At 51.5% G+C, this 17,509-nt stretch overlaps 1 protein-coding gene across 6 annotated transcripts in view; it reads left to right on the top strand.

Annotated features, from left to right (window-relative positions):
• SYNE3 (spectrin repeat containing nuclear envelope family member 3) overlaps positions 1 to 17,509 on the top strand; it is a 109,385-nt gene that overhangs the window by 46,483 nt on the left and 45,393 nt on the right. For all 6 annotated transcript variants that reach the window (NM_001363692.2, NM_152592.6, NM_001384281.1 and 3 more), the window contains 4 exons: positions 2,201 to 2,373; positions 3,928 to 4,237; positions 12,830 to 12,991; positions 14,444 to 14,791. In NM_001363692.2, the coding sequence (NP_001350621.1) occupies positions 2,201 to 2,373; positions 3,928 to 4,237; positions 12,830 to 12,991; positions 14,444 to 14,791 (993 nt within the window). The remainder of the gene's footprint in view (positions 1 to 2,200; positions 2,374 to 3,927; positions 4,238 to 12,829; positions 12,992 to 14,443; positions 14,792 to 17,509) is intronic.

Below are 17,509 nucleotides of genomic sequence, written 5' to 3'. Positions count from 1 at the left end.
TTTTCCCCATCACTGCTCGCTGCTGAGAGGGACTCGGGGTCCCTGTGTGGGTACTTGCTGTGGCCACCACCCCCTGGGCCCCTGCCACATCCTGCTACTTGGCCAAACAAACCCTCTTTCCCTCTCTTGAGGAATCTCCCCATTCTTCACTCTCCCTGAGCACCTCCCACTCACATGCACACAGAGACAGCCTTTGGAAGGAGCTTGTTTGCCTCACTCTTTGATAACAAAGGTAGGAGGGGAAGTCCTTCTATACTATTATCATCATCGTCATCATCATCGTCATCATCAACGATTATTGTATGGAGTAAAAAAAGGATGGGGACCATTGCCCATTTGCACACATTGGGGAAGGGTCTACATAATTGTTCAACAGTTTACAAAGTACACTAACTTATACCCATGTTTAATTCATAGTGTTTTTATTTTATTTTTATTATTTTTAATATTATTTTTTGAGACATGGTCTCGCTGTGGCACCCAGGCTGGAGCGTAGTGGTTTGATCACGGCTCACTGCAGCCTCGACCTCCCAAGCTCAAGCGATCCTCCCACATCAGCCTCCCAAGTAGCTGGGACTACAGGCATATGCCACTACATCCGGCTAATTTTTAATTTTTTTTTTTTTTTTTTTTTTTGTAGAGACATGGTCTCACTGTGTTGTCCAGGCTGGTCTCAAACTCCTAAGCTCGAGCAATTCTCCTGCCTCAGCCTCCCAGAGTGCTAGGATTATAGGCATGCAGCACTGTACCTGGATAAAAGTGTTTTTAAAATTAATATTATAACCCTGGGAGGTGGACAAGCAGAGACTGTTATCGTTGTCTCAGGATGAAAAAGGGAGACCCAGAGTAGCCTAGTGACCTGCCTGGGGTCACACAGCTGTCAGTGGGGCAGCATTCCACATGGCAGGAGCTCTCCTTCACCCCAGCCATGGGGAAGGGTCAGAGACAAGCAGGCTGCTGGGAAGCCAGTCTAAGGACACTGACCACCAGCCCTCAGGGAGACGGGCTGGGGATCTGAGCTTGAGCTTTAGGCCATGCCTGCTGTTAGTAAAGACAGATCCAAAGATAAGGATAATAATAATAATAGTGAGCAGGTAGTGACTGGGTTGCGGTGTGGGCTGGGCAGCGTGCTCATGGCTCTCCCTACATTACCTAATGCTTATCTTCCCTCATTCTTAGGCCTAGAGAATGTAACTCCTGTGACAAAGGTCACAGCAGCAGTAAGGAGTGGCCCTGGGATTGGAATCCAGTCATATTTGCCTACAGAGACCAAGCCTTAGCTGCCCCTGAACTGCAATAGTAACAGCAATGACAATAGCTAGCATTACTTGGACACTTACTATTTGCTGGACATCATGCATTGGTCTTAGTCCTCCAAGAAGCTGACACCAAGATGAGATGAAATGTGCATGGTATTTATTAGGGGGATCCCGCTGGGAGAATATGGGGAGGAAGGGAGCCAGGAGAGGCTGGTCAGAGGGATGCAGATATGATCCCAAGGCCAGAAGAGCAGGGAGGAAGGAGCAGGGTCAGGAGGGGCCATCTCAGACAGCTGTGGGTTCTAAGGCAGTTTGCAGGAACATGAGCTGTTTGTGAGTTACAGTCACTCACTCAGCATCTCCCAGGAAGGGAGCTGCTTCAGTGTCCCAGCTGCTCTTGGTCTCTGGTGGGAGCAGCCTCAGGAGCAAGGCTCTGGTGCAAACTGCGAAAGACAGAGATGATTCTGGAGGCTCAGCTGGGCCCTGGGTTGGGCCAGCTCCTCGCAGTCCCCCTGAGAGGTAGATGCTCACGCTGCACACTGAAACATGTACCTCACATGCATTTTCTCATCGTTTAATCCTGAAAAAAATCTGAGAGATAGATACGATTAATACTTGCACTTTACAAATGAGAAAACCAAGTCCAAGGAGAGAATGAAACTTGTCTGAGTTCACACTCTAGAAATGGGCCGAGTGGGGAAGGAGAGAGCCATTCATCAGACAGCACCCAGCATGCTAATCGCCTTTGCTCCCGCCTCCTACCCTCAGAGCTAGTAGCAGGTTGCCCAAGACCCCACAAGAAGGGGTGCAGGGGCTGTGATGTGAATCCCAGATCCTCTGGCCTTCGAGTCCTGGCTCTTTGCACCATGCCACTATCTTCCCAAGGTTGTGCCTGTCTGCCTTTTGCCAACCCTGGAAACTGGCTTGTGTGTCCACAACAGAAAATATGCCAGCTGGAGCCCGAGGGGCGTGTGAGGGTGGACCTCGTGCTACGGATGGCTGAAGCCCTCTTGGCATGCTGCCCTGGGGACCAGAAGCCCGGGATCCTGGCCCGGCTGAAGGACATCAAGGCCCAATGGGAGGAGACAGTCACCTACATGACTCACTGTCACAGGTAGGGCATCCAGGGCCTTTGTCCACAGCTGCCATTTACCCTCCTTGCCCACTGTGACACTAGCTTGGGCCCTCTGCCCAAGAGACATTTCTCCAGTCCTGGGATTCTGGGGGACAGGATATTCTCTTGGGATTAGGGCCAGCCCTGCCTGCCTCTTTCTAATTATAATCAGGTTGAATGATGATAATAGACACTGGGAACCCAGCGTGTTTTGTCAACAATTCCTAAGAGACTTACCGTGTGTGCATCCTCCAGAGCATGGCACAATGGCTCTGGAGAAAGAAGGCCTGGGGCCCTGCTAGCACTGTAGCCAGAGTCCCTGCTTGTACCAGGAAGCTGGGTGGTGGTTGGCCGGGACAGGGGGTGGTGGGGAGCAAACACTCGGACAGACCTGGCATTGACTCTTGTCCTGCTGGTTACTTCCTATGTGGTTTGGGAAAGTTACCTGACCTCGCTGAACCTCAAGCACCTCTCTGGACAATGGGAGTAATCAAGTGCTCCTTGAAGGTTGTTAGGAAGTTAGGAGGGGATAGCAAATATCAAGAGCGAGGCACACTGCTTGGTACAAAGTAGGCCCTCAGTAAACAAGAGCTGCCAGGATCATCTCCATTTTTATAAAGCAAGGATGTGCATGGAGATGGGAATGACTTTGCACAGTGCTTCCTGCTTTCTAAATCCTTGCGCTGGAAATTCCTAACACAGTGACTTGATGTTGGCTGGGGAGATAGAGCCACCTCCATGTTAGAGATGGAGAAACTAAGGCATGTGAAGAGGCAGGGTTGCAGAGTGAGTTCACAGCACCCCTGGAACGCACACGCAGGCTCCCAGCCTTCCGTCCCCATTGGGTGCAACGAGCCCACAGATGCAGATGTCACAGATGTCAGTGGGGCAGCATTCCACATGGCAGGAGCTCCTCCTTCACCCCAGCCATGGGGAAGGGTCAGAGACAAGCAGGCTGCTGGGAAGCCAGTCTAAGGACACTGACCACCAGCCCCCAGGGAGACAGGCTGGGGATCTGAGCTTGAGCTTTAGGCCATGCCTGCTGTTAGTAAAGACAGATCCAAAGTGCTCTGCAGGTGACTGGACACATCCCAACCGCAGTCTGCTCCTAAAATTAGTGGGTGTGCGTGTGCCAGCGGCCTGGAGAAACTGTGTTTAGAGCCCCAGTGCCAAAGAGAAATGACTGGGGGTGTCTGTGCATTGACAGTGGGAGTTCAGGGCCAGGATTTAAGGTGCTGGAGGTAAACGGCTCCCCAAGATGCATCCCCAAAACTGGTGGTTCTGGGAGGAAGTTTGGAGTCTGAGCTCCCCTGGCTCCTACCCTCACGCAGGGAGCTTATTTACTGGGCAGAGGGTCTTATCCAGTAGGACTGAGGGAGGGTCTAGAATCTGGAGTGTCAACAAGCTGCCCAGGTGACTCAGAGGCCAGAAAGGGCATCATCATGCCCCCAGACCACAGCCCCCTAGTATTGGGGAGGGGGTGACAGCACAGACCCCCGACCCAGGAGGCAGGTGGCTGGTTCCCTCACAACCTTGAGGTCTCTGTGCCCACAGCCGCATCGAGTGGGTGTGGCTGCACTGGAGCGAGTACCTGCTGGCCCGAGATGAGTTCTACCGCTGGTTCCAGAAGATGATGGTCACACTGGAGCCCCACATCGAGCTCCAGCTGGGCCTGAAGGAGAAGCAGTGGCAGCTGAGCCACGCCCAGGTGCTGCTGCACAACGTGGACAACCAGGCGGTGCTCCTGGACCGGCTGCTGGAGGAGGCAGCCTCCCTGTTCAACAGGATCGGGGACCCCAGCGTGGACGAAGATGCCCAGAAGAGAATGAAGGCTGAGTACGATGCAGTGAAGGCCAAGGCCCAGGTGAGGGTGAGGCTGAGTGGGCTACATCCTCACCCACCCATCCATGTATCCACCCTTATCTACCCATTCCAGCCACTGTTTGCCTACTATCAAGCTATTTACCTACTATCAATCTATCTTTCTACTATCAATCCATCTACTCACCTGTTCACTATCCAACCACCCTCCCATCCATCTGTCTACCTACTCACCCATCTACCTCCCCACTAAATCACCAAATCTCCCCTTCACTATCCACCCACACACCACCCCATTCACCTATCTACCCCACCATTTGTTCATCCATGTATTCTCCCACCCATCTGTTGACTCACTCATCCATCTACTTCCCCACCAGCCTGATCAATCTGCTATTCATCTCTTCAACCACTTAATCGCCCACGCATTCATCTATCTACTCATTCACCTACCCATCAACCCAGCCACCTCTTCCTCACTCACCCATTCACTCATCCATCTCTCCACTGCCTACCCCTTCACCACCTATCTACCCACTATTGACCATCACCCACTCGTTTATCCAGCCATCCACCCACCTAGCTACCCATCCCCCAATCCTCACCTACCAACTCTTCCACCACCCACTCACCATTATCTACCGTCCAGATACCCAGTGTTTCGCAGTGCTTAATATACATATAGGTGTGTTGACCGACTGACTGATGGACTGTGATGTTCACTTTGATCCAAACAGCTTCCCCCTTCTCCTCCTTTCTCTCTCTTCCTCTCTCCCTCCTCCCCTCCCTTCCTCCTCCTGCCCTTTAATCCTTCTCCTTCAGTGTTTCCTCCTTGCTCTCTCTTGCCCTTGCCCCAGTCCCTCTGTCCATTCTCTGTCTGCATTTCCTCACCCCATTCTTGCCTTATTTGGAAACAGTTCATTGAGTTATCAAGTTCAATTACATTTGTTAGAAATTTTATTTGGTTCTGTATTATGTCTCCCTGTTCTTTTTAACAAATTATGTCATTTTCCCCCTGAGATTTTGCATTCCTCCCAGATATAGCTTATATTTGCAATCATTCTAAACATATGTATTTTACAGTCCCCATCAGATTTTTCTAGTGGCTGAGGTTCCAGGTCTAAGGCTGAAGTTCCACGTCAGGCACCTATGTGTCCCCTGACATGGTAGATTGTTTCCTTGGGGGGTGTTGTCCTTTTGAGCTCTAAGCTCAGCCTAAGCAGGATGCATCTGCAGAAGCCTGCAGCTGGGACACCACCTGAGAGTGGCTTTCTGTTGGCTTCAGCTGGGCTCCTCCTGAGGTTTATCTTCACGACTCCTATTTTCATGTCAGTGAATTGGCTTGGGGGTTCCCAGATCAGGCGGATATTCTAAACGTGAACCCCAAGCCAGAATCATACAATAGGCCCCAACTCCATATTCTGAAGGGTGATTGGTTTTTTTTGTTTGTTTGTTTTTAGGCCCAGGCTAAAACATGCACATTTCCTTCTCAGATTGCGTTTGTAACAATATTTTTTTTCTACTTCACCCTTTGGCTAGTGGGGGCGGGCAGCCACTTGAGGCTCTGTCTTTTTGCAGTGGTCTCTGTTGCCTCTGAGCCCAAAGTCTCACTTCTTACTCCAGCCTGAGCATTAAACCCAAGCTTCTAGTAACTAAGACTTCAGGCACCTGTGTGAGCTTAACAGGGTGGTTTCCCGGGCATCTTTACTTCTGGCCCATGGGAATATCCCTTCCCTTGGTGTGACGTGGGTCTGCATTGAAACGGTGTTTGTTATGTTACATTTTATCTGGCATTTCTGGCTCTCTAGTTGGCTATAGCGCTGAAACTGAACATCTCCTGGGTTCTTCATGCTGACAGTTTAAGGGAAATAAGCTCTGTGATAAGCAGAACTAGAAAATCCACCAGGAACAAGGCTCTGGCGCTTGGGAAGGGACTTGGATTCCAGGCCAGGCACTGCTGCTTCCCAGCTGTGTGGCCTCAGGGCAGCTCACCTGACCTGCACCCAGGTTGTGGGGGCTGTATGGTTACATGTGAGCTCTTTGAAAACTGGCAAGCATTTTGCCAATATAAAGAACGACTTCTACTCTCAGTAGCAGTGAGAATAAATAGGAACAACAATGGCTGTTTGCCATGCAGCAGGTGCTCAGAACTATCTGTTGAAATAATGAGAACTCCACCCCTGCAGTTTGAAGGCAAGCAACCCGCAGGGCCCCAGAGAGGAGCCACAGGAGGCTCCAGGAGACTGCGCAAGGCCCAGAATGGATGGGCAAGGCGGGGATTCGACTTGGCTCTTGCAGAGGCAGCCAATTGGCCCTCATCCAGCCCTGCCAAGGCCCGTGTGGCATGGGCAGGCTTCATGGCAATTCTCTCTCCAGGTCTGCCCCTCTGGCCCAGCTGGGACAGGTGCCTGGCTCCACAGCCTCTTTGCTGTGGCTTTACAGGAAACAGGTGCTTGTGCCAATCAGCAGAGAGCGCCTGGTGCAGGGTGTGGAGGAGATGAGATAAAAAGTTGTTGGTGTGTGTGCAGGTTTGCATGTATGTGCATGGGTGTGTGTGCATGTTTGTACGTGAGGGTGGATGCTGGGGTGCTGAGTGAGCATCAATTCTGGCCCAGATGCTGAAAGGATTGCCTCCAAGAGCCTCATTTTCATTCCAGGGAGTTCTCCCCTCACACAATCCAAAACGCTATAGACATCACAGCTCTTATCAGTGAGAGCTGTTTTTTCTAACCTTTTCCTGTCTCTGACCTCATCTGCTCCCCCAGTCTTTTTATGAAGTAGATGGAGAAGTTGTTATTGGACTCTTTTTTTTATTTTGAGACTGAGTTTCACTCTTGTTGCCCAGGCTGGAGTACAATGGCATGATCTCAGCTCACTGCAACCTCTGCCTCCCGGGTTCAAGTGATTCTCCTGCCTCAGCCTCCCGAGTAGCTGGCATTACAGGCATGTGTCACCATGCCCGGCTAATTTTGTATTTTTTAGTAGAGATGGGGTCTCTCCATGTTGGTCAGGCTGGTCTCAAACTCCCGACCTCAGGTGATCCGCCTTGGCCTCCCGAAGTGCTGGGATTACAGAAGTGAGCCACTGTACCTGGCCTTTTGGACTAATTTTTTAGATTAAAAAACATTCTGTGCGTCAGACACCAGCGGCCCAGTAGAAAAAGCCAGAGGTGCTGATGACTTCTAAGGTGGCGCTCCCTGCAGCTGCGACTCAGGTCCTGCGTTAGTGTCTGCACCTGTGACCATCAGGATGAGCTGGGGCCCCGGGTGCTTCTGTGGTCAGGCTGGGACAGTGAAAGGCAGGTTTGAGCTGCTGAAGAGGGAGCCCTTGCATCCAGGGCTCTCAAGAGGCAAAGGCCCGCCTGGCAGTGTCCTGGGGCAGGAGCATGGAAGGCTGTGTCATGTGCGGAGACAGCGGTGATGGGGGAGGTTTGGGGTGCGGTGAGGGGGAGACTCCCTCCATGGTGGAAGCCCTTGGAGTTGCCAGATGGCTGGTCAATGCTGATGCCAATGTGGAAATGGGGCGCTGTTGTTTGTGGGGTGGCTGGACCCTGCATGGAGAAGTGAATTCAGTTTTGGCTTTCTCAGCTGTTGGCTGAAGGCCATGGCCCCTCATGAAGTCTTCCTGCAAGCTTGAGGACTTTGTTCTCACTCACAGGGAGCCCGGTCAGCTCTTAGACAGGAGGGCTGTGGTGTACCCTGGAGGTGTTTCCTGTCTCTCTAGAAGCTGGCCATGGGGAGAACTGAGGGGTAGGTGGGGAGGGGCCACGCGGACCCCTGCAGCCTCTTTGATCTTGTATTCAGAAGGTATGAGTGTGCATTTCTATGGGGCGAGGAGCTATAGCATCCACCAGATTCTATGGATGGAGCTTTCGTGGATCCAGAGGGTGCCATGTTCTTCCGAAGCCTGAGAGGCTCCTGAGCGGGGCAAACTTCTCCATCGCCCTTGGCCAGAGATCCAACCACTCAATCCTAAGCTCCTCATCAGCAAGGTGGGATGCAGCCCCCGGCATTGACCTCCTGGGTGTCCCCAGCCCTCCAGCCCCAGACAAAGGGGGAAGATTCTAGCCTCATCCCAAGGTGGGTGGGCACTCCACATACCCAGCAGCCTGCAGAGATCCTTGGTGGTCCCAGCCTCCCAGTCCCTGCTCTGAAAGCTTGATGAAGACCTCCCCTGCATAAAAGGTCTCTCTTGGGGCAGTCGTCTGACTCCAGCGATGGTTCTGTCCTCGTGCCTTCCTGGGGGTCGAGGCCTGGCCTCGGGGTGGGATTGGTCTCTAGGTTCAGGTTAGTGCCCCTACTTTTACCTATGAGAGCCCATTGCCACTGCTTGCCATGCTAGAACAGGCCACTGCTCCAACGAGGAAAACCCATTTTTGACGTCCATCATGTTAATTAGCACAGCCTCTAGGGTTGATGGGGACGGAACCACAGAAGCACCATGGGGTCCTCCCTGAACTGGAGCCTCTGTGACCACCTGCTAGAGGGAGATTCTTGACTAGGGCCAAGGCTAAGCCCAGAGGGGAGCAATGGCACATTGTCAGCCCGCAGTGTTTGCAAGTGAAATGTAGACAGGGCAGGCTGGCTGCGGGGAGGGGCTTGTTTGTTTGTTTTTAATCCCGATTTAGTCTTCCCAAAGGCAGGCACATGGAAGCATCCTCACCCCCGCTGCTTCCCGTGGCGGCCCTCACAGAAGGCGCGTCTGTCTGGCATCTTGGCCGTGAATCAGAGCTGCTTGTGATGAATCAGAGCTGCTCGTGCAGCCCTTTGCAGAGGCATAAATCCGCACCACCCTTGTTAATTGGTTAGGTTTTGACATTCCTGACAGCTCTGCCCGCCGCAGATGGTGTAATTGCTGGGTCTAACGAGAAGGTTGAGCACCTTCCCGTTTGTCACCCCGTCATTCTCCAGCACGGCTGGATTCTGCCCTGTGACTGTTATGCCTGGCACGGATCTCAGCTGGATCCCTGCCCCTCCTGCCGAGGTCCTCTCTGAGCACCTGCTCCCCATCACACAGACTTTTATTTACCCTGGACTTCTCCGGGTGCCAGCACCTCATCCTTCACACACTAGCAGCCACGGCCGGCACTTCCATGGGAGAGTTCACTCCCGGCTGCATCTATCACCATCAGCGCGGCCAGGGGCCCAGCATCCAGCCTCTGTCTGTTACTCCTGACCCACTTTGTTTCATGAATGAGCCTTTCCTGTTGATGGAGGAGGCTCCAGGAGAGTTTTGACGGATTTAAATAACCCTGCAGGAAGGGGAAGCCAGCAGGGGAGCTTGCCGAAGCCCCGGAGCCATCCTTAGGGCTGCAGGCGGGAAGCATGAAGGGGACTGTCCCCTCGCTTGCTCCACTTTCAGATTCAAGCAGGGCCCATGTTTTGTAAGAATTTTGTCTTTCTTGATTCCAGTTGTAAGCCATTTCAGTTACTATAACTTTAAAATAGGCTTTTGACTGGGCATGGTGGCTCACGCCTGTAATCCCAGCACTTTGAGATGCTGAGGCAGGTGGATCATTTGAGGTCAGGAGTTCGAGACCAACCTAGCCAACATGGTGAAACCCCGTCTCTTCTAAAAATAGCAAAAAAAAAAAAAAAAAAAAAAAACTAGGCATCGTGGTGCACCCCTGTAATGCCAGCTACTTGGGAGGCTGAGGCACGAGAATCGCTTGAACCCAGGAGGCAGAGGTTACAGTGAGCCAAGATCAGGCCATTGTACTCCAGTCTAGGCAACAGAGTGAGACTCTGTTTCAAAAAATAAAAAATAAAACTAGGTTTCTAAATAAGAATGTATGGTGCCTCCAATGTTATTTCTCTTTTTCACAACCCCAGTTGGAGTGCTCAACAATTTTTGTTGTTGTTGTTGCTGTTTTGAGACAGGGTCTTGTTCTGTCAGGTGAGGTAGGCTGGAGTGCAGTGGTGCAGTCACAGCTCACTGCAGCCTCCACCTCCTGGGCTCAAGCGATCCTCCTGCCTCAGCCTCCCAAGTAGCTGGGACTACAAGCGCCCTTCACAAACCCAGCTAATCTTTAAATTTTTTGTAGAGATGCCATCTCACTGTGTTTCTCAGGCTGGTCTCGAACTCCTGGGCTCAAGCAATCCTCCTGCCTCCACCTCCCAAAATGCTAGAATTATAGACACGAGCCACCATGCCCAGCCTTGAGAGAACTTCTCAGATCTCTACTGAAGAGCTTGGTCCTAAGCCTGGGCTTCCCCATTTCTAAAATCGGGATGTTTTCTCCTACTTGCAGTGGTGGTTGCAAGGTTTATATGAATTCATATTTCTAGATTCGGTGAGGAGCTTCCCAAAGAAGAAAAAAGCATATGTGAAAGAGCTAAGGGGTTTTTCAGATGCACTTACCCGTTCACTCTTCCCAGCTGAGAATGTCTGACTTAGATTTGCAGATGGTCAGAACCCTCCTGGACAGGGCCTGGCTCCATGGTGAAGAGCTGAGGTCAGCCAGCTATGGTTCAGACACCACATCCAGCCCATTCCTAGCTTCAGCCTCAGCCTCCCGAGTAGCTGAGACTACAGGTGCACACCACCACACCCTGCTAATGTTTTTATTGATTTTTTGTAAAAATGACGTCTGACCGTGTTGCCTAGGCTCGTCTTGAACTCCTGGGCTCAAGGAATCCTCTTGCCTCAGCCTCCCAAAATGCTGGGATTATAAGCATGAGCTAGAATGGCTTTCACATTTTCAAATGGTTGGGAAAAAATGAAAAGCCAAATATTTCTTGATGTGTGAAAATGATATGAAAAACCTGTCAGTGTTCATAATTAAAGTTTTATTGGAATGCGGCCATTCTTTTCACATTATCTGTGGCTACTCATGGGCTACAACATAAGTTGCATGCTGGCGGTGGAGTAGCTCCATATGGCAGGCCAAGCTAAAAGCATTTCCTGGGTGGCCCTTGACAGAAACAGTCGATGATTTTGGAGTCTGACACTTGCCATTGGAATCTTTTCTGTAAGACCAAAAGAGTTCTGCAATGTCCCAGCTCCAGTCTGGACATTTGCAGAATAGGAGGGTTTTGTGATTGTTTGAGTGTTAAATAAGATAACTCTTTGAAGTTCCATGCACACCTAGCATAGGTGCTTATTAAATGAGTCTCCTTTTTCCCTTTTCTTGGCTCTCTTTGGAAACTTTCCTCTGATGGCAAACACTCCAGATTTGTGCTTCCTGCCATTCAGGAAGCGTTCACAGGGCGTGCCCTGAGCTAGACCCTGGGAGATGAAATAACAGGGGCAGCCTTGTTTCTAGGAACCTCCTGGATCCCCCAGTGGGTGACGATGCCATGGACAACTGCTGTGATGAAGTTGCATCCCAGTGGTTTGGGAACTCAGAAGGAAGGCTGTTAATTCAGCCTGGGGCAGTGGGCATGGCCTCAGAGTGAGAAGGGGGCCTGGGGTTAGTACTGCAGTTGGTTACCCGCTGGAGGTGTGAGAAGAGCTTGGAGAAGGCAGGAGACAATCAGCAATGCCTCAAGGTTGTTAAGCACTTACCAGCTGCCAGGCTCTGTTTTAGGGGTGAGCTCTGGCCCATTTCATCTCACTTTCTCCCAATGAGGCAGGTGTTATTAACCATACCATATGGATGAGGGGACTTGGGCACAGAAGGGTTTAATTAGGTACCCAAGGTGGGGCCAAGGTTCAAGCCACAGGCAGTGGGATCCCAACCCCAGGGTCTTGACTGCTGGACCACAGAGCTACATCATGGACACCTGTCCTTGAAGTGCTAGGCTGTAAGGACTGGACTTGGGCCTGGGGCCAGTGGGGAGCCATGACGGGATATGGGGAGACAGCACTGTGATCAGGGCATGTTTTGAAAAACCTAGTCTCTGGGAGTACAGTGGGGGCTCATAGCAGGACACCACTGTTTTTCCAAATGTCAGCCACCCTCAGGACATCATCTTACCCCTGTGTTGTTAAGACCTTTGGTGGGACTGGCTGAAAATAGAGATGATTCCAACCCATGCAACACACATCACCGTATTCATGGGGAAATGGGGCAGCTTGCCATTGATTTGCATACCCTGTGGACACTGTTGTGTAATGGAGCTAGAAATGCTGGTTTCTAGCATTCAACCCAGCTCGGATTGAATCTTGGCACTTTCCTAGCTGGGTGACCTTGGGCAAGTCACTTTACCTCTCTGTATCTTGGTGTCCTCATCTGTCACACTGGGACTGTAATGGTACCCCCTTATGGAGTGGTCAGGAGACTTCACTGAGCTCATATATGTCAAGCTCTTAGAGCAGTGCCCAGCACCTTGGCGAGTGCTCAGAATGACAGTGTGATGTAGTAGTAGTCGTGCTAATGTTGTTGCTGTTGCCGCACCTCAGTCTTGAATGCCATTCCTAGGATGTGGCAAACAAGAAAGCCAGCTGCATAGTGACAGGGCCCAGTGCCAACATGCTCTGGTCTCCAAAGCCAACTCTCTTGGCATATTGTTTGTAAGGCAGAACAGAGTATCTGAGAGCTCTTTGTGTCTAGAGAAAGGGCTAGAGGTTGGTTGCACCCCCTGCTAACACACACACACACACACACACACACCCAGGCAGGCTACGGGCTTTCTGGCCTTTGGGCTGTCTGGGCTGGGGACCCTCATGGCTGGTGATTCTCCTCCTCCCACAGAAGCGTGTAGATCTGCTGGAGCAGGTGGCCCGGGAGCATGAGGAGTACCAGGCAGGTGTGGACGAGTTCCAACTGTGGCTGAAGGCGGTGGTGGAGAAGGTGAATGGCTGCCTGGGGCGGAACTGCAAGCTGCCCATCACGCAGCGCCTCTCCACACTGCAGGTAATCCCCAGCTGTGTCTCAACCAGAGGGACCCTAGGGACAGTCACAGAGGGTGGGTTCTATGTCATAGTTCCTTTTTTTTTTTTTTTTTTGAGATGGAGTCTTGCTCTGTTGCTCAGGCTGGAGTGCAGTGGCGCGATCTCAGCTCACTGCAAGCTCCACCTCCTGGGTTCACACCATTCTCCTGCCTCAGCCTCCTGAGTAGCTGGGACTACAGGCACCCGCCACCATGCCCAGCTAATTTTTTTGTATTTTTAGTAGAGACAGGGTTTCACCATGTTAGCCAGGATGGTCTCGATCTCCTGACCTTGTGATCTGCCAGCCTCGGGCTCCCAAAGTGCTGCGATTACAGGTGTGAGCCACCACACCCTGACCTATGTCATAGTTTCTTTAATAGGACAGTGCTTGGTGCCACAGAATATATAAGAACCCATGGCCCACAGACCCCCGTGAGGAGAAGTGTGGAATCTAGTCTAAACGCTTGGGTCCTCAGAGGCTTTATGGAAATCCCTGGCCAGCAGAGCATTTGGAAACCCAGGACCACAGAAGCATGGTCTAGGCTGGTGGGTCTCCAATGGGGGGCATTTGGCAGTGTCTAGAGACTCCTCGCCCTGAGGAAAATCTTTGGCAATGTCCTAAGAGGGTAGAGGGGGTGGATGTTGCTACTGCCTCTGGGTGGCGGCCAAGGATGCTGCAAAACCATCCTACAGTGCACAGGACAGCCCCACACAGCACAGAGCGATCCAGCCCACGTGGCAATGGTGCCAAGGGAGAAGAACCGTGGTGCAGGCGCCAGGTCTGCCATCGGGAGACGTGGGCTCCCCACTTTTCACCTGCTGAATGGCTTTCAATGAGCCTCTGACTCCCTCCATAAACTGAGTGGGTAAAATGTCTTTAATAATTCAAGAACCACTTGATACATTTTGCCACAACTGTGCAGTATCTGAACTATTTCTTTAATATTTGTATTTAAATGGACTCATTTTTAAAAAAACTGATGATTATTTATTTAGAAAGAAAACATATCACTGTCATAAATGGAAAAGATGGTGCCAATTCCAAATAGGTAGATAACCACACAAATAAATACAATGAAACCGAACGGAGCCATTTGGTTCTATTTGGCTCCACACTGTTTCCAGCTGAAGGCATGGAAAGGAAGATAAACAAATGTCAGAAAGTGTTCAAGACAGAAGCACCCAACAGAGACTTTCTCCTTGACTTAATCAAATGGCTTGAAAAAGACTTATGGGGAAGGAATAGGGTTCTCAGGTTGTGAGTCCATGCTACTTAAGGCAGACAGTCCAGCCCTTGGGAAGGCCCCTCTCTGGCTCTAACGCAGGACTCCAGGAATCAGTGTTTTGCAGGGCAGTCCCAGGTCTGCTCTGGAAAATGCAGCAACTGTATTCTTTTTCCCTGCCTGTTTTTCCCTCACCCCTCTACCCTCTTCAGGACATTGCCAAAGATTTTCCCAGGGGCGAGGAGTCTCTGGAGACGCTGGAGGAGCAGTCTGCGGGTGTCATTCGGAACACCTCTCCTTTGGGTGCAGAGAAGATCACCGGAGAACTGGAAGAGATGAGGAAAGTTCTGGAGAAGCTGCGCGCCCTCTGGGAGGAGGAGGAGGAGCGGCTGCGGGGCCTGCTCCGGTCCAGGGGAGCCTGGGAGCAGCAGATTAAGCAGCTGGAGGCTGAGCTCAGTGAGTTCAGGATGGTCCTGCAGAGGCTGGCCCAGGAGGGCCTGCAGCCTGCGGCGAAAGCGGGGACCGAGGACGAGCTGGTGGCACACTGGAGACGCTACTCGGTAAGCGTGCTTGGCCGAGTCATGGAGCCCAGGGTGCTGTCTGTGCCCAGGGTCCTGGCACTCAGACCTCCTCTGTGATGGAGAATCGGGCTGAGCCCTGAGCACACTCACTCTGTTTCTCCGGGATTCTTGGTATCTCAGCTCCCTGAGCGGGGAGTAGACAAGTTGGGTGTTTATCCCCATTTTCTAGATGAGGAAGCTGGGGCCTACAGAGACTTTTTTCCCCAACATCCCTAGAGTCACATGGTAGGTCTGTGAATAAATAACAGCAGAGGGGGATTGGGCAGCCAGGTTTGGGCCTCAAAGCTACTCTCCTGCCCAGTGGTGGGATAAGGTGTGGGCTTCCTCTGCGTGGAACAGGGAATATTGGATCAGAAGGGGAAACTCTTAATGTGGAGATCATGGGGAACAAACATGGGCCTTTAGGAGGCCAAGCAGCAGAGGCCCACGGTGGTGGGGGGTGCTTCCCAGACCCCGACATGACATCCCATCAGAGGCTCCCCAGCCCTCCCCCGAGGTATACGAACTGAAGCTTGACTTGTGGATAAAGAGAGTTTTAAAATAAGAAGCAACGGCCCTCCCCACCTCTGTCTTTATTTATTGTTAACTCAGGATCACGACTTCATGAGAGGAGATACCTCCAAGGGAAGCCATCCCAGATCTTACCTGCACTCTGCCACTGTTGTTATATGTTTTCTCTTCCTTCTAATCTCTGCTCATACGCAAAAATATTTTTAGTAGGGAGAAACAAAGGGCTGTCTTCTCATTCGATCTTGTAGCAGAACAGGTTACCCTGCAGTTATCACCTTCCTCCAAAGGGAACTGTCCCCTGCTTTAGGACTGTCTGCCTCAATGCGCCTTGGAGGTGGTGTGGCACAGTGGTGAGGGATGGGGACTTTGGGGCCAGACTAGCTGGGTTTAAGTCCTAGTTTCTCCCCTTGCTAACTGAGTGGCTTTCGGAAAATTACTTTAACCTCTGTTATGTGTGAAATGAAGCACTGAGAGGCTAGGAGACTTGCCTGTGGTTATACATCCAATAGGTGGAGACAGGGATTTTAACTTGAACCCAGGCAATCTGACTCAAGGTCATATGCTTCCAACCACTGGGCCAGCTCAGGCTCCCAGTTCTAGAAAATTAACATAGCAAGAGGAACAGACCAGGAATCCAGACATCAGTGGATCCATCCCCCCTGGGACTGCAACCCTGGGATGCTCCCGAGAGAGCAGAGGGCTGGGTATGACTTGTGTTATCCCTCTGCTGACGGGAACAGGACCCTCATCTGTTTCAGGGAGACTGTTTGCAGCAAAGGTTGAAGTCAGGGTGGATTTGTAGCTTATCCAGCGTCTGGTCAGGAAATGCAACTACCTGGCAGGGTCCACCCTCCTGAGCCTCCCAAGGAATCAGCAAACTAAACCTGACAACATTATAGGTCCCAGCATGGCATGTCAGAGCTGGAAGGGATGTGGTCTTATTTTACAAGGAGGGAACTGAGCCTAGAAAAAGGTCATGCTTAGCCAGGCCACCCAGCCATGGGGCAGCGTCCTTCCCAGGAATGAGGGCCCTGGGTGTTCCAGCACTGCTTCAAGTTGATGATGGGCCTTCCAGTGGCCTGGACAGGCCTCTCTCCAGGGACAGCCCCCAGTCTTGCTCACCCTCTGCACCCTTGCCCTTCCTGCTGAATTCCTGCAGGCCGGCCAGCTTTCCTGACCACTGATGTGCTGGGCTTCTTCATGAATGATTTTCAACCTGCCAGTTCCCACAAACCAACTGTGTCTGGTCTTCCGTGAAAACTTTCATAGACGTCATTATGTTTGCTAACTAATTGAATAGCAATAGGAACATTTTTGAGAATGAACAGGGCTGGCTGGGCAGATTCTGTGTCCTTCTGCCTACATAGTGGCCCCTATTGCCCCAGCTGCTGCCTAAAATCCTTCCCTCTATTTGTGCTTTCTCCCTTGAGCTTAATACTCTAAACCCTGTTCATCCGTGGGTCACCCCAGGCTAAGCCTAATTGGAGCTGCCCCTGGTTCCCTGTGAATGGAGGATCGGTCAGAGGTCGGTATGGTCAAGAAGGACAGAAGCACAAGGCTGCCTCCTGGGATTGAGGGAGCTGGGGATGGGGAGGGACTAATGCATCCCTGCTCTGTACCAAGTGCCTTGTCAATATCACCCGACCCACGTGGTTGGTGAGAGTGGCCCCATTTATCAAAGAGGAAACAGCCCAAAGTGCACAGCTAGGAAAAGACAGAGGTGGGTCTCCAGGCCAGCTCTGTGTTGTGGCAAAGCCCAGCACTTTCTACTACCCCACCCTGCCTCCTACTGAGCAGGGCCAAGCAAGGGGCTGAGAGTCCTGCAGATCAAGGTCAAACGTGGAACTTCCCAGGACAGCAGTGAAAGGCTGTGTCTGGAGTGTTTGCACATGTTGAAGTGAAGCAGCTTAGGAATAGTCCATGCAAATAGCTTCTAGGCCTGCCGAGAATAATAACCGGGTTCACAAAGCACCTTTAGAGGCATGAAGAGGCCCTGCTCTGATGTCCGGTCCACCATCTACAGACTCTGCAACCGTCAGAGAGCTCTTAGCCCAAGTTTCCTTGTAAATAACATTGGGACACGGAGACTAGCCTTTCAGGACTGTTGTGAGGCTTAAACGAATGGGACACCCAGGGCGCTCAGCCTGGCATTGGTGTCCCCTGAGTATTAGTTATTTGTACCATTAG

Source organism: Homo sapiens, chromosome 14 (assembly GCF_000001405.40).
Source record: "Homo sapiens chromosome 14, GRCh38.p14 Primary Assembly".
NCBI classification, from domain to species: domain Eukaryota; kingdom Metazoa; phylum Chordata; class Mammalia; order Primates; family Hominidae; genus Homo; species Homo sapiens.
Note: the sequence above shows the minus strand (reverse complement) of the source record. Positions and strands in the feature narration are given on the sequence as shown.